The following is a 14838-nucleotide window of genomic DNA, read 5'->3' as shown; positions in this document are numbered from 1 at the left end:
CTACCCCCAGCAGCTTCTCTCCCTGCCCCATGCTTCCTCCTGGACTCCCCACTCTTGGGCCCACTGCTGTCTCCTCTCTTGCCTTGAGCTGCCTCCCATCCACAGGTGGCCCTAGTACTGATCTTGGGGCCTCTGATGTAGGACAAACCCCCAAAGCCCCCATCCCCCACCCTCCTCAGGCCCATGTGTGATGCAGGGAGCTCAGAGGGAGGGTGCTGGTGTCATGGAAAATCCCTGCGGCAGCCAAGGTCAGTGTTTGCAGACACAGCCTGGCCTAGAGCCAGGCCTGCCTCCCTGGCCAGCTCCTTCTGGCCCATCCCAGAGGCCGGCTTTGTGCAGAGGCCCTCAGAGGCACCCCAGGGCTGCTCTGGGTGCCTGGGGATAGGGACCTTAGGAGCGATCAGTCCTGGTGTGACAACGTAGTTCAACCCACTCGTTTTTTGTTTTGTTTTGTTTTGTTTCTTTGAGACGGAATCTCGCTGTGTTGCCCAGGCTAGAGTGCAGTGGCATGACCTCAGCTCACTGCAACCTCCACCTCCTGGGTTCAAGTGATTCTTCTGCCTCAGCCTCCCGAGTAGCTGTGACTACAGGTGTGAACCACCACATCCGGCTAATTTTTAGTAGAGACGGGGTTGCACCACATTGGCCAGGCTGGTCTCAAACTCCTGATCTCAAGTGATCCACCTGCCTCGGCCTCCCAAAGTGCTGGGATTACAGGCATGAGCCACGGTGCCCTTCCCCCCACTCATTTTATAGATGGGTAAACTGAGGCTGAGAGAGGAGCAGGGACTAGCCCAAGGTCACAGCAACTCAGTGACACAGCTAGGACTGGAATCCAGGGCCCTCATGTCATCTTTTACTGCCCTATGCTGCAGAAGGGAGCATCTTGAAGTCTGTTCTGATAGGCCAAGGAGTAACAAGGGCTGGTGAAACACTTCTGTTACACAAGGGCTAGCTTGAGGTTGTGCTGGACTTGAGTTGGTGATGTAGCCAGGAGAAATAGACCTAGATGATCTATTGATGAGGTCCCTGACCTCAAAACACTTTCCATCTGGGATTGAATCAAATGAAACCTCTCAGTGGAAGCACTTTGAAAACTTCAGTGCCCTGTATAAAGCAGAGGTTATTATTACACAAATTATTAAAATGCATGGCAAAGGTGGGAAATGTTTTAGGAGGGATTTAAGACAGAAGCCGAAGGAGGGCTGGACATAGAGAACTTTGGTTGGGTTATCAGGGAGGGCTTCATGGAGGAGGTGACATTTGCTCTGAGCTCTGAAGGGTGGATAGGAAATGCAGGGTTCTGATGAGGGGAGCTACTGAGGCAAGGATACAATGTTAGGATGACACATGATGTGTTAAGGTCAGAGAAAATAGACCTGCGTGGGACTGGTGGGTGTGCTCACAAATGGGGTTGGTGTGGGGGCCAGCGGACTCTCTCAGAAAGGCAGCTGCATGATACGAATCAAGAAGCTTAGAAATGTGTCTACCCAGTGGCCCTGCAGTGGCACTTCTAGGAATCTCTGCTCGGAAAATAACCAGAGATCAGAACAAAGATTTATGAACAAGGATGTTTATAGCAGCATTTTCATTGTGAAAAATTGTAAACAGTCCAAATATCCACCAATAGAGTTTGGTTAAACATATTAAGGTATATTTATGTGGTGGAATATTGTGTGACCATTAAAGTGCAGTTCTTGAACAGTCTCTTGATTACATAGAAAACTACCACATCATGTTAAATTAAAAGAGTAGGAGACAACGCTTTCTATATTGTGGGATCCCACGCTAATATGAAAATATGAAAAATGTGGCTGGGCACACTCGTTCATGCCTGTAAACCCAGCATTTGGGGAGGCTGAGGTGGGAGGATCGCTTGAGCCCAGGAATCCGAGACGAACCTGGGCAACACAGTGAGACCCATCTCTAGAAAAAAACGAAAAATTAGCTAGGCATGGTGGCTTGTGCTTGTGGTCCCAGCTACTCAAGAGTCTGAGGTGGGAGGATCCCTTGAGCCCGGGAGGTCGAGGCTGTGGTGAGCAGTAATTGCACCACTACACTCCAGCCTGGGTGACAGAGGGAGACCCTGTTTCAAAAAAAAAAGTGTATTCACATATACATTTTGTATGAGTACACACACATATATAGCTGTAAGGAAATATTCTAAAGCTCATATAGCTTATCTCTGAATAATGGGCTCGTGATTAATTTTAATTTTCCTCTTATAAATTCTTCACTACAAAAAACTATTACTTTTGTAAGTAGAAAACGATGAATATTATAAACCTAAAAACAGCACAAGTTCTTCTGGCGTTCTTGGAACAGGAAGTACAGTTGAAAAGTGAAGATCGTCAAGGTGAGAAGGGGCCAAAATTTGAGGTGCTTTCAAGGGTGGGTTCAGGAATGAAGTCTTCGTTTTAAGGCAATGAGGAGCCATGGATGGCTCCTGAGCAGGGGAGGGCTGTGCTCAGAGAGATATTGAGCTGAATGCCTGGCAACCCTGGGCAGGGGCGTGGCTGTGGGAGATGGGGGCAGGTGGATCCACTGAGGTCCTCTGCATGGTCCAGTTGTCAAGTGCTCAGGCCTGAGCTAGAGGGAAGCGGAGGATCCAAGAGTTCGGGATGAGAGGAGGAGGTAGGGGCGAGGGGCCGAGAAAGGAGAGGACAGGAAGGGGCGAGGGGAGGAGAGTGGATGCATGGTGTGTGGGATGCCCTGCATTCATGGGTGAAACTGTAAGCCCCATGAGGACAGGGGTTCTCATCTCTTTTGTTTGCTACTGGATCCCTCACACCTGGAAGGGGGCTTGGCACAGAGCTGCTGCTTCATCAATTTCTGTTGAATGAATGACTGAGGGAGAGGGAGGCATCAGAGATGAGCCTGAGGTTTGAACAGAATGGAGACGGAGAGGATAAGCAGAGCGTGAGGGCTAAAGCAGGCAATGCCACACCACCAGCCAGTTATCCTGGGGGTCCTGGGCAGGGCCCTGACCTGGGGCCGGTGGGGCCTGTTCTAAGCTAGCCATTGAGCCAGGTGCCATGGCCCAGGCCTGTGGCCTGTCTGCATCCTCATGACCAGCTGGACAGGGCATCTGTGAGCTCAGAGCTTCTAACAGATTGGATCTGGTGGGGTTTTAATTAAATGAATCCACCAGGAACAGCCTGGCATTGAGAAAGGAATTCCACAGCACAATTTAAAGTGGACTTGGCCCTCTTCGCGGATGGCTGAGGTGCCAGTTTTCCCCCACATGCTTTTTTCAAGGCCCTGTCCATGACGCTGGCATCTGGCTGGCCCGAGTCTTACACATTTACACTCCCAGGCCTTTCCTGTTGAGCCCATTGAGGAGAAACAGGGGTGTGTTGGTATCTCCTTGCCACAATCTCCTAAAGGGAATGAACTTCTCCCAACTGGAAGCCCTGTTGGGTCTGAGGAGCAGCAGAGGCCAGCCTAGGTGTAGGCCCAGAGTCTGGCTGCCTGAAATCTCACCCAGTGGGCAGTGTTATGGGGGCAGGGCGGGGCCCAGAGGGTGATGGTGCATAGGAATTACAAAGTACTAGGAGTCAGGAGGCCTGGCTACCATCCTAGCTCTACTATTACCTTGCTGTATGACAGGGGTCAGCAAACTGTTTCCTGTAAAGGGCCAGATAGTAAATACTTTAGGCTTTATGAGTCTGTGGTCTCTTGCAACTACTTGACTCTGCCATAGAACCAAGAAAGAAGCCATGGATACTACGTGACAATGGGCATGGCAAATTTAGTGTTCCAATAAAACTTTATTGACAGCAACAAGTGGTGGGCCAGATTCAGTCCATAGTCCCTAGTTTGCTAAGCCTACTGCAGGGTGTTTGTTAAGCCACGCCAGCTCCCTGAGACTTATCTGAGTCAGTTTTCTTATCTCAATTTTTCCTACCTTCAAAAGAGAAGTTAGATTAGAAGATCCCTTATGTCTCTTCTTCCCTGAAAAGTTGTATTTTAGCATTGAGTAAATCGCTAGTTGCTCCTATTCCATGTACCATGCAGAGGCCCTGAGGAGAGGGGTACATTTTGAGCAGGATCTGGTGCCTAAACCTGGCTGCGGACATGGTGTCAGCAGCTCTTGGGAGGGCCCCTTTCCACATTTCTGGACACTGCTCGTGCTCTTTGTTCTGCCTGTTGGGCTTCTACTCCTCCATCAAAGCCCATTTCAAAAGTCACCCCCTCTCTGAAACCTTCCCTGATCTCACCCACCTAAACAAATCAGTGCTCCAGGGGCCCTTTGTTCATTACTCATCATCCTTCAAACATTTCTCCACTCCAACCAGCAGGTGTTTTTGAGTCCTTAATATGTGCTGTGCTCTGAGTTCTAGAATAATAATCCCTTGTATTTCATTTGTGCAGGACTTTATCAATTACAAAGCAATCTCTATACATTCTATTGTTTGAGCTTGCATTGCTGTCCTTTAGAGGAGGTGCTATTATTCCTATTTTACAGATGTGGAACCTGAGGCTCAGAGAGAGAGACAGTGTTTCATCTCAGGCCATAAATGGTAGAATCAAACTTGAAATTCAAAGGCAGTTTTTTTCTGCTGCACTTGGCTGCCCCGGGACTCTTCACACCAAGATGGAAGTCAGAAGACCTGGGGTGTGGTTCTAGTTGTGCTGCTGTGTGATCCCAGGCAAGACGCTGCCCCTCTCTGGGCCTCGAGCGCTTCTTCTGGGAAATGAAGAACTTAGAAGACATTCTTGAGGCCCTTCAGCGTTCTAGGATTGTGGGCTTTCAGAGGGCCACATTCTCTCCCTCACAAACAGTGGAGACAGCAATAGTTTCAGTCAGACAAAGGCCACTGGGAATGTCAGCTGGCCCAAAGCAATAACACTGGGCATTTGGGTGTATGCCAGACCGACAGTCCTGGTGGGCACTGATCAGATGCTGTGGAGAGGGTGAGGGACCTGGGGCCGGCCTGGCCAGCCCAGCTCTGATTGTAACATTCCCCAGCTGAAGCGGAGGGGCAGGCAGAGCTAGGTGGAAAATCCCCGACCCGGCCCCTACACCCTCCCGGCCCTCAGGGGCACATGGAGTCAGGGAGGAGATGGCCACGTGTCCCTGCCTGAGTCTCCCATGCCAAGACAAGCCAGAACATTTGGGAATCGTGTTGGTACCCAGCTTCTCCTCTACTCCCTGCCACTCATCTCATGCAGGAGACCAGGATCTTGGGGACTTGGGCCTTTGCTTTCTTTCATTTATTTAGCTGCTGCTGCTTTTTATTTTGGCTGTCATTTTGTCCTGTAAGTCTGTACGCAGAGGCTATCGAGGGCAGGGGTACTGCCTTGTACTTCTTAGTGGCTCAGTGCCTGGCACACAGCAGCTAATGGTGGTAGTAACAACAAAAGCAGCCGTAGTAATAATAAAACTCACATTTATTAAGCACCTGTATTCCAGACGCTGTACACTGTAGTAAGTGCTTTCTGCGCATTCGTTTATTTAGTCTTCACAAACATTTTAGATGAGTATTATGTCCACTTTGCAGATAAGGAAACTGAGACACAGAAAGTTTCCATGACTCATTCAAGCCCACACAGCTAGTGAATGTCTGAGCCAGGGGACAAGCTCAGGCCGGTCACCTTGTCCAGTCTAACTAATGTTAGTTGAATGGATGCTGCATGCCAGAAGGCAGGTGCCCTGGCTTTTCAGCTAAGGAGACTGGGCTGAGTGAGTGGTTGGTGATTTGGACAAGGCCACACAGGTATGTGGCCTCCAGGGTCTCTGGGCTGGGGCCCAGGGATCAGGATCCATGGCCCATCTAAGGGGACCTTGATGCATCCCTCCTTATTTATTTATTTATTTATTTATTTATTTTGAGATGGAGTCTCACTCTGTCACCCAGGCTGGAGTGCAGTGGCATGATCTCGGCTCACTGCAACCTCCGCCTCCTGGGTTCAAGTGATTCTCCTGCCTCATCCTCCTGAGTAGCTGGAATTACAGGTGTGTGCCACCACTCCTGGCTAATTTTTGTATTTTTAGTAGAGACAGGGTTTCGCCATGTTGGCCAGGCTGGTCTCGAACTCCTGACCTCAAGTGATCCGCCCACCTTGGCCTCCCAAAGTACTGGGATTACAGGCCTGAGCCACTGCATCCTGCCTGCATCCCTCCTCTTAAGGTTGTTCTGGAAAATGATGGCCTGGGGAGGACAGGCAGGCGGGTGCTCTCTCCAGCTCTGCTTCCTGATCCTTCCTGCTCAACCCCTCCCCAGCAGCAGTTGGGCCTGAGAGTGCACAGTCCCCAAGCACTGTGTCCCAGGGGTCCCCAACATAGTGAGCAGTGCAGGGCCATTCCTGTTGAATCCCTGTGGCTCACTGGGCGGGGTGGTGTCCATTCAACAGTCGGGGACACCGAAGCCTGGAAAGATTGGGTGTGTCGCCTGCAGTTGCAGCTCCTGAGTTGGACCTGGGACCCCAGCCTCTTGATTCTGGGCCTGCTGCTTCCCCTCCACCCACACTGCCTCTCTGAGCCCATCTCTTGCTAGGTGGCTGGGTGACCTTGCGGTTAGAAGACAGCATGTAAAATAAAGTGTCCAGTACAAGGCCTGGCGTGTGGAGGGTCTCACAAAGTAGGAGCTCTTATTAACACATACATGTTTCTTTCTTTTTCTTTTCTTTTTTTTTTTTCAAGACAGAGGTTTTGCACTGTTGCCCAGGCTGGAGTGCAATGGCGCGATCTCGGCTCACTGCAACCTCTGCCTCTTGGATTCAAGCGATTCTCCTGCCTCAGCCTCCAGAGTAGCTGGGATTACAGGTGCCCACTACCACGCCTGGATAATTTTTGTGTTTTTAGTAGAGACAGGGTTTCACCACGTGGGCCAGGCTGGTCAGGAACTCCTGACCTCATGTGATCCACCCATCTTGGCCTCCCAAAGTGCTGGGATTACAAGTGTGAGCCACAGCACCCAGCCCTTTTTTTTTTTTTTTGAGATGGATTCTCGCTTTTTCGCCCAGGCTGGTGGTACGATTTTGGCTCACTGTAACCTCCAGCTCACTACAACCTCTGCCTCCTGGGTTCAAGCAATTCTCCTGCCTCAGCCTCCCAAGTAGTTGGGATTACACACCCAGCAAATTTTTTGTATTTTTTAGTAGAGATGGGGTTTCACCATGTTGGCCAGGCTGGTCTTGAACTCCTGACCTCAGGGGATCCGCCCGCCTCGGCTTCCCAAAGTGCTGGGATTACAGGCATGAGCCACCGTGTCCGGCCCACATACATGTTTCTAAGCCCAGCTCTGTGTTGCCATTCACCACTCAGAAACCTTCCTTAGTTCCCCCAGTCCACACAATACAGTCTGGGGGTTTCCTGGCCAGTAAGTGGACTCTCCATCCACCACCTGATCCCGCCCTACTGGCCTGGCCTCTCCTGACTCCCTCACCATTTCTGGTCCCATCTGTCCCATGCCTCGCCTCTGAGCACTTCCACTGCTGCAGAGTCACTGGAGTCGCTGCTGCCCTGACTTCCCTCCCTCATCTCTTCTGGCCTCCAATGAAAGCCCCAGGGCTGCCTCCTCCTTTCGCAGTCTCCCCGGAGAATGGCATCTTCTGCCCTCACCACCATCTGCCAGGTATTAGGTTTTGCGTGGAGATGGCCCCTCTCCTACTGGCCTGCCTTGCCCAGTGCCCACAGTGGAAAACTAGCAGATCCATGAAGCTAGTCTTGATGAATGGGTTGGGTGTGGTGGGGGGAGCTTGGGGCATGTGTGGCCCCATCTCCATCTTCTGCTCCTCACTCTCCATTCTGGTCATCGCCCAGACAGCTCTGGGCTGGCAGGGAATTTGGAAGCAGATGCCAGGAGATGTGAAAGGAGGCTTTTCTTAGGCTCAGCACCCTCCCCAGGGCTCAGGAGCTCAGATGGTGTAGGTTGGCATAGTGCCCAGGAAGAGAGGGACTCCAGGCAACAGGGACTTCAGCCTGGAGGCAGCTGCTGGGGACCTTCTCTCCCTCCGAGCCAGCCTGCAGACATGAGGTCCCCACCCCCAACATTCACATGTGTGTGCGCACTCCTACACACACACACACACACACACACACACACACTCCAACACCCAGCCTCTCCCCTACTGTGGCCTCTGGGCACGCCTCTGCCCACCATCCCGATAGGTTATAGGGTGGACAGACACAGGGAAGGGGGACATCTGCACAAAGGGAGAGGCAGCACCTCACAGGACCTGGCCTCTGGGCCTCCCACTCCTTCCACTGTTCTCACAAGCTCCAGGCCCTTAGGGATCTAAAGAAGCCACTGAATTCAGCCTCCCTTCTCTCCAGCCAAGGGGACACAGACTCTTCTAGGAGGCTAAGAATCCACCACTCTCCGTAGAAACATACTCACTCAACCCTGCACCCTATAGGAAATGCTCTTTCTGCAGAATGAAGTGAACAAGCCTTCGGTTGCTTGACTCAGTCTGTCCTCCGTGGAGACAGCAAACAGTTGTCCCCATCCTCGGGGACACTGCCCTTTACACGGAGACAGGGAGGCAGTACCCACCTCAGCCTGTTTCTGAGACCTGACTTGCCCTGGGCTTGTTGCTCTCTTCTGACCTCTGATTTTCCAGCCTTTCCAGTGGCCTCGGCCATCCTGAAGCCCTCCAGCTTCTCTGCACCCACTGTTCACAGTGCAACATTGGCAAGAGATCAGCCAGGCCAGGGTATAAGAGGAGAGTGACTTCCTGGCTCCTGTGATCTATAGAGGCTGCCTGTTTATGCACTGGTGTCCTGAGCTTGCTTTTTATGGTGCCAAGAGCTCCAAGCTGGGCAGCCTCCCGAGGACCCAGGCAATCTCCCCAGGACCCAGCTCCCCCCAGCTGCAGCTTACAGTGCTACCCTGCTCCCTCCCCCCAGCCCCGATATGGAATCTGGGCAAGCTGGCTTTCTCTGCACTTGACTTTATTCGAATGATTAAATGCCTCTGTCACTGATCCTCCTCTCCAATTCAAAACAATATTAGCTAACATTTATAGAGCGCTTACTACGTGCCAGGCACTGCTCTAAGCGAGCTAATATATGTACGTTGTGTAATCTTCAAACGACCCTATTGGTATATATTATTATTATCCCCATTTGAAGATGCAGTAACGGAGCCACAGAGAGGTCAAGCAGTTGCTCAAGATCACACAGCAAGTAAATGCAGAGCTAGGTTCTCCCTCATACTCTCTCCCCTATACTGCCTCCCTTCACTCCAGGCAGCCTGGATTAGGGTTCAGCCAAACAGAAAACGTGGAGGGCAGGTCTCAGGGCTGGTGGGAAAGGGAGAAATTGGAGTGGAGACTTCCAGACTGGGAGTCACTCCTCTAGGGAGAAAGATGTGCCTTGGAGGGGACTTAGTGGGAGAGTGCGGGGCAGCATGTTTATATGGGAGTTAATCACGCTGTTCCTTGATGTCTGCACCAGTTCAGTTTATTGCACACTTCAGAGCGTTTTCACGGTGAGTAAGGCAATGTCACTTTCATTCATCCCACTGAGAAATGAGGAGGCGATGCTGGGACAGGTGAGGTGACTCGGTCAAGGTTAGGCAACATGTGTATCAGCTTCATGACAGAGACGTGGTAATTTCCCAGGGGTCTTCTGCTGCCAGCCCACCTGCTTGCCACAGGCTGGACTCTGGGCTTCAGTGCAGCAAGAACCCCCCTGGAGCCAGTCAGTGAGGGGCTGGTTAGCTCCGGCACTCAGGGCGGGACCGTGAGGGAGGGGGCACATTTTGCCCTGCTCCATTCCTGGCCCAAATTGGCACAGGCACCTGGGAAGGGCAGCCGGCCAGCCACGTGCCAGTGTTACTTTAAAAATAAACCAGGGGAGAATGAGACAAAAATAACCCCGGGGATATGTGGGGAGCTAATTACTACTGCAGCCCCCTGTCAGGCTTTCGGGAGAGCGGCTGGACCTCCGTGGTGTCTGGGTGTTGGGTCTGCTCTATTCATCTCTTCCAGCTGAGAATCGGGTGCCAGGCCCTCCCAGAGAAGCTGGGAGCAGCAGGGCCTCAGAATCCCAAGGCCTTAGAATCCCAAGGGTCAGAGCTGGAGGCTGCTACAGACATCCCAGACAGCCTCCTTTATCCCAGAGACCAGGGTAGGGAAGGGGAGCCAGGCTGGACAGGCCCCCATCTCCTGCCAGGGCTTCCCTCTTCCCCCCTACACTGTCTGTGGGCCTTGCACATGACTTCCCACTGGAGTCACCTGGCTCCAAAAGGGTCTTTGAGTTCCCAAGCCCCTCCCCTCTTCTCTGAAGCCTGTGTGTGAGTGGTGGCAGGCACCGGTGGGTGTTGCTGGCTACCACTCCCTATTTAGGACTTGGGCCCACTGCTCTTCATCTGCACCCTTCTCGAGAAGCACCGAGGCCCTTCTTGACCCATCAGGATAAGGAGGCACGGCCCTGCCAGCTCGCTCCTGGCTGCCTCTGGAGGCATCGATGGACTGTGCGCTTGCATCTCATCTCTGGGCCCCTGTGCTGAGCCCAGCTAGGCCCAAAGATCCCCAAGCTCTTTCCCAAAGAGCAGTCGGGGGACAGGGGCCACACTTCTGTCTCGCAGGCCCAGGTTCCCTGCAAAGCTCTTGGTTACTCTTCAGCCCCCCACCCTTGGCAGAGGGTGCGGGAACATCTCGCAAGGACAGGGTGGGAGGGACGTGGGGCCCAGCTGAGGACACAGCAGAGGACAGACGTGCAGGATCAAAGAGAAAAAGCAGAGCTTTCCTGGAGGAGGGAGGCAGAGGCCAAGACGGCTGGAAGCTGACAGAAATGATCAAAGGACAAGGATGGATGAGGTGGGAGGGAATGTGGAAGGCGGCGGCAGGGTAAGGCAGGCGGAGCTGGTGGGGCTGGGGTGAGGGACTGCTGAGGAAGAGCGGGGGCTTTGGAGTCAGACAGGCCCGGACTCGGCTTCCTGGCAGTAGCCCTGCGCCCATCGCCTTGCTGGGCCTCAGGCCTCATTTGCTTGAGGGATATAAGGCTAACTCCCTCATGGGTCTCTGCAGGGGGAGGGTGTGAAGCATTTACGGAAAGGCCTGAAAATAGGGCGAGCTGTGGTATAGTTGCTCTTTCCCTGCCTCTCCTGGAATCTGGCCTCACTGTTCCACCTCAGGCCGACTCCCACCACCCTCCCCTTCCCTCGCTCCTGGAGCAAGCTGTTGAATGTTGCACTGCTTTCATGGCCAATGTCTCCGGTGACCGCCATGCTGCAGATCTACTGGTGGTTTCCATCCTATTTGACCTCTAAGCAGTGGCCAGCTTGGTTGACTGTTCCCTCTCTGGAAACACTCCCCCTGGCCTCTGGGCCACCACAGTGCCCAGGCCTCCTTCCCATCTCCTGGCAGGCTCCCTTCCTTGCTTGACCTCCCAGCACTGGAGGAAGGGCTGGGCGCTCTGCTCTTCTTGCCAGCTCTACCCCCTTCCCAGCTGATCTCATCTGGCGCATGACTTTCAATATTATTTCTATCTGATAACTCCTGAGTTGATATCTCAGCTTTGACTTCTCCCTCGAGCTGCAGACTTATCTGTCTAACTGCCTTCATGGATTTGAAATGAGCATCTCAAAATTAGGCTGGGTATCCGAAACAGAAGTCTTGAGTCTACCAAACCTGCTACTCTCTGGATGTTCTTTTCCATCTAGTAAATGCACATCCTCCACCTGGTTGCTCAGGTCAAAAACTGAGGACCATTCTCGATTGTTCTCTTCCCCCAACTCCTACAGCCCTCTCCTCCAACATATGTATCGTACCCATCAGCCAGTGCTGTCTCCTCTGCCTCTCAAACATAGCTCAATCCACCCACAAGCTCTGTCTCCACCACCACCACGCTGGTCCAGTCCGCCACCATCCTCTCTTTGGAGGGGTTGACCTGCGGGTGGCCTGGTGACCTGTGGCCTGGCAGTCTCCCTGCTTTTGTTTGCACTGCCACCATCCGATCTTTGCAGAGCAGCTAGAGTGCTCTTGTAAAAATTTAAGTCATGTCACATCACAACCCACTTAGACCCTTCCAGTGACTTCTATCAGTCTTAAAAATCCAAACTCTTTTATTTTTATTTTTTTATTTTTGAGATGGAGTTTTTGCTCTTGTTGTCCAGGCTGGAGTACAATAGCGCGATCTCGGCTCGCTGCAACCTCCGCCTCCCAGGTTCAAGAGCTTCTTATGCCTCAGCCTCCCGAGTAGCTGGGATTACAGGCACATGCCACAACGCCTGGCTAATTTTTTTGTATTTCTTTTAGTAGAGACAGGGTTTCACCATGTTGGCCAGGCTGGTCTCAAACTCCTGACCTCAGGTGATCCTCCTGCCTCAGCCTTTCAAAGTGCTGGGATTACAGGTGTGAGCCACCGCGCCCAGCCAAAAATCCAAACTCTTGACCATGGTCTCCATGGCCCTGCAGTGTCCAGCCCTTACAGATTTCTGCCTCTTCTCCTCACTTCACTCAGCATGCCACAGCCACACTGCTCCTGTTCCTCAACCCACCTGGCACTGGCCTGCTTGAGGCCTTTGCATCTGCTCTTCCCCTGCCCAGAAATCTGTTCTCCCACCTCTGCCTTCTACAGGCCCCTCCTGGAAGGCAGCTCTCCCTCTCACTCTCATCCCCTGGCTTTCTTGTCTTGCTGGCCCTTATTACCATTGAGATGATGTTGTTTATTTTTTACAACATAATTTAGTTTGTTGACTCTCTACTTCCTCTAAAGTGGCCCCATGAGAACAGGGGCTGCTCTTTTTCCCTGCTGAGTCCCTGGGGCCTAGAATGGGGCCTGACACAGGGAAGATGCTCAGAGAGGCCGAGTGGGTGGAGGAATGACTGCGTGGGTGCCTGAGGGGAGTGGAAAGAGTCGGGGACCTGAGTTCGAGGACTGCTTTGTCACTGGACTGCTGTGTAGTGGAGGCACGCCACTGCCCATCTCCCCTGCACCCTGCCTTGGGTCTCATCCCCTCATCTGGAAGAGAGAAGGGTTGGGCTGCATCAGTGGTTCTCAAAGAATCTGAAGCATCTGCAGGACTCTGGGAATTGCCAGAATGCTATCTGCTGTCTGCCTGAGCCTCTACTCTGCAGGTGCGGACCATCAGCAGCACCCTGAACTCACCCCATCCTGGCCAAAGGTTGAGTACATGACTGTGTAGGCTCTGTAGCAGGGAATCACACCAGGCCCCAAAACATTCTGAGTGATCAAACCACAGTGGAGACCCCCAGGGCTAAGCCCTGACCCTGAGAAGATCCAGTGGGTCACTGGTCAAGGTGAAATGTTGAAGGCTGGTGCATGAGCAGAACACAGCTCCCGGTACCCTGGCAGCCTTGGAGCAAGCCCAGGGCCTGGATGGCAGGACTGGCTGCCAGTACACACATCCTGGGCCAGCTGGGGTGCAACAAAACTGTGTCTGCAGCCTCGCTCCTGGCCACTCCCTGTCGGAAGGCAGTGGCTGGGATCAGCCTGCCCTCAGCACCAGTGCTCCCTCCCGCACTCCATTCCAGGGACTACTGTGGGAGCCGTGAGCAGCTGACCCTGTCCGGGTGGGAGGCTCCTGCATTCCAGCAGCCCCAGGGGCTGGGGCAGTGGACTCGCTGTGCTGATAAGCAGGACCTCGGCCACACTCAAGAATGCTCTCTTTCCAGCAAGGGGTGACTTGGAGGTCCTTGACAGAACTCTATTCTTGGGACTAGACACAGAGGAAGTCTCTTCAGGGCTCGGACAGCATGGGGTGAAGCGGGGACAAAAGCGTAATCCTGGGTAGCATGCTTCTCGGGAGGGCTGGAGGGGAGGCCAGGGCAGGTGCAACAGAGACGGCCCCAACTGGAAGGGCTTTAGGTGCCACCAGCCCAGTCCCTCACAGACAAGGCCAGGGGCAGGTATGACTCGCCCCAGGTTTCACAGCCAGGTGGGAGCAGAGGAGCAGAGGAGCAGTGGAGGAGGCTGGATCCCCTCTTTCCTTGGCCCGTCACAGCTGCAAGAAAGGACGAGATGCCTGCCTCTACGAGTTCACTGGCCCACCCCCTGGAAGCAGGCAGGGGACAGCAGGGCCTCTTTGGAGCCCAGGCAGATGAGTGCTCGGGACTCCAGGGCACTTAGCTGGGCACGGCATGCAAGAGGAGGGCTGCCCACTGAGTTTGGTTCCAGGTTTTCTCTCTCCGGCCCCTCCTGGAGGTGGACCAAGGACAAGAGGAGCCCCTGCTCCAGAGCCCCAGGAAGCCCTGGAGGGTCTTACTTTGCCTGACCCTCATGCTGGAAAATCCATGACTCAGAGTCATGCTGAAGAAGGGGGCACCCTGGCTCAGCCTGGCCCCAACCCCAGATTTGTTCCCAGTGGAGGGGGCCTCCCCTGGGCTGACCACCTTCCCTGGGGTTGTTTGAGAGCAGGCAGTGAGAGCTAAAGCCATGAAGCGAAAGACAGACCTGTCCCCAGGACCCCAGGACCCCTACTGAGGCCCTCTCCAGCTCCTCCTCTGGGGGGGAGGGGAAACGACCTTCTCTGGGGGCCACCCACTGACTCCTGATGTCTTGGCCACCTGGCTCACCCCAGGAGCTTTGGCTCGAGGATGAGCAAAGATCTTCCTCAGCCACCTTTGCATGTTTCTGAGACACCAAGGACAGCCAGAAAGAAAATTCTAGCAGCTGGTGAGTGGCCCAGCCTCCCAAGTATGGAATACAGATCCCAACAAGCTCTCTTCTCCATCATCCCAGATCCAGGCTGCAGATTCCAATCGCCTGGGGGGTCCTTCAGACTTGAAGCCTCCTGGGCTTACCTCAGCCCTAATGAATTAACTCCCGTGGGCAGGGTCCTCACACCCATGACTCTGGTTCCAGCAACTGCTGCTACGGGGGTAACCTCCCTACTCAGCACACAAGGGCCGTCTGACCTGCCC

General features: G+C 53.5%; 1 protein-coding gene across 1 annotated transcript in view, besides 3 other annotated features; it reads right to left on the bottom strand.

Annotated features, from left to right (window-relative positions):
* Positions 1-14838, bottom strand: part of KCNK3 (potassium two pore domain channel subfamily K member 3) — a 40699-nt gene that overhangs the window by 12701 nt on the left and 13160 nt on the right. The window lies entirely within an intron of this gene.
* Positions 9578-10497: an enhancer, noted in NCBI's record as "H3K4me1 hESC enhancer chr2:26933091-26934010 (GRCh37/hg19 assembly coordinates)". NCBI's record gives its function as "activates a minimal SCP1, AML or CMV promoter by ChIP-STARR-seq in naive and primed H9 embryonic stem cells {active_cell/tissue: H9 hESC(naive and primed)}" and the evidence as "EXISTENCE:reporter gene assay evidence [ECO:0000049][PMID:30033119]".
* Positions 10498-11419: an enhancer, noted in NCBI's record as "H3K4me1 hESC enhancer chr2:26932169-26933090 (GRCh37/hg19 assembly coordinates)". NCBI's record gives its function as "activates a minimal SCP1, AML or CMV promoter by ChIP-STARR-seq in naive H9 embryonic stem cells {active_cell/tissue: H9 hESC(naive)}" and the evidence as "EXISTENCE:reporter gene assay evidence [ECO:0000049][PMID:30033119]".
* Positions 13656-14553: an enhancer, noted in NCBI's record as "H3K27ac-H3K4me1 hESC enhancer chr2:26929035-26929932 (GRCh37/hg19 assembly coordinates)". NCBI's record gives its function as "activates a minimal SCP1, AML or CMV promoter by ChIP-STARR-seq in naive H9 embryonic stem cells {active_cell/tissue: H9 hESC(naive)}" and the evidence as "EXISTENCE:reporter gene assay evidence [ECO:0000049][PMID:30033119]".

Source organism: Homo sapiens, chromosome 2, assembly GCF_000001405.40.
Source record: "Homo sapiens chromosome 2, GRCh38.p14 Primary Assembly".
Lineage (NCBI taxonomy): Eukaryota > Metazoa > Chordata > Mammalia > Primates > Hominidae > Homo > Homo sapiens.
This window is presented reverse-complemented; position numbering and strand designations above follow the sequence as displayed.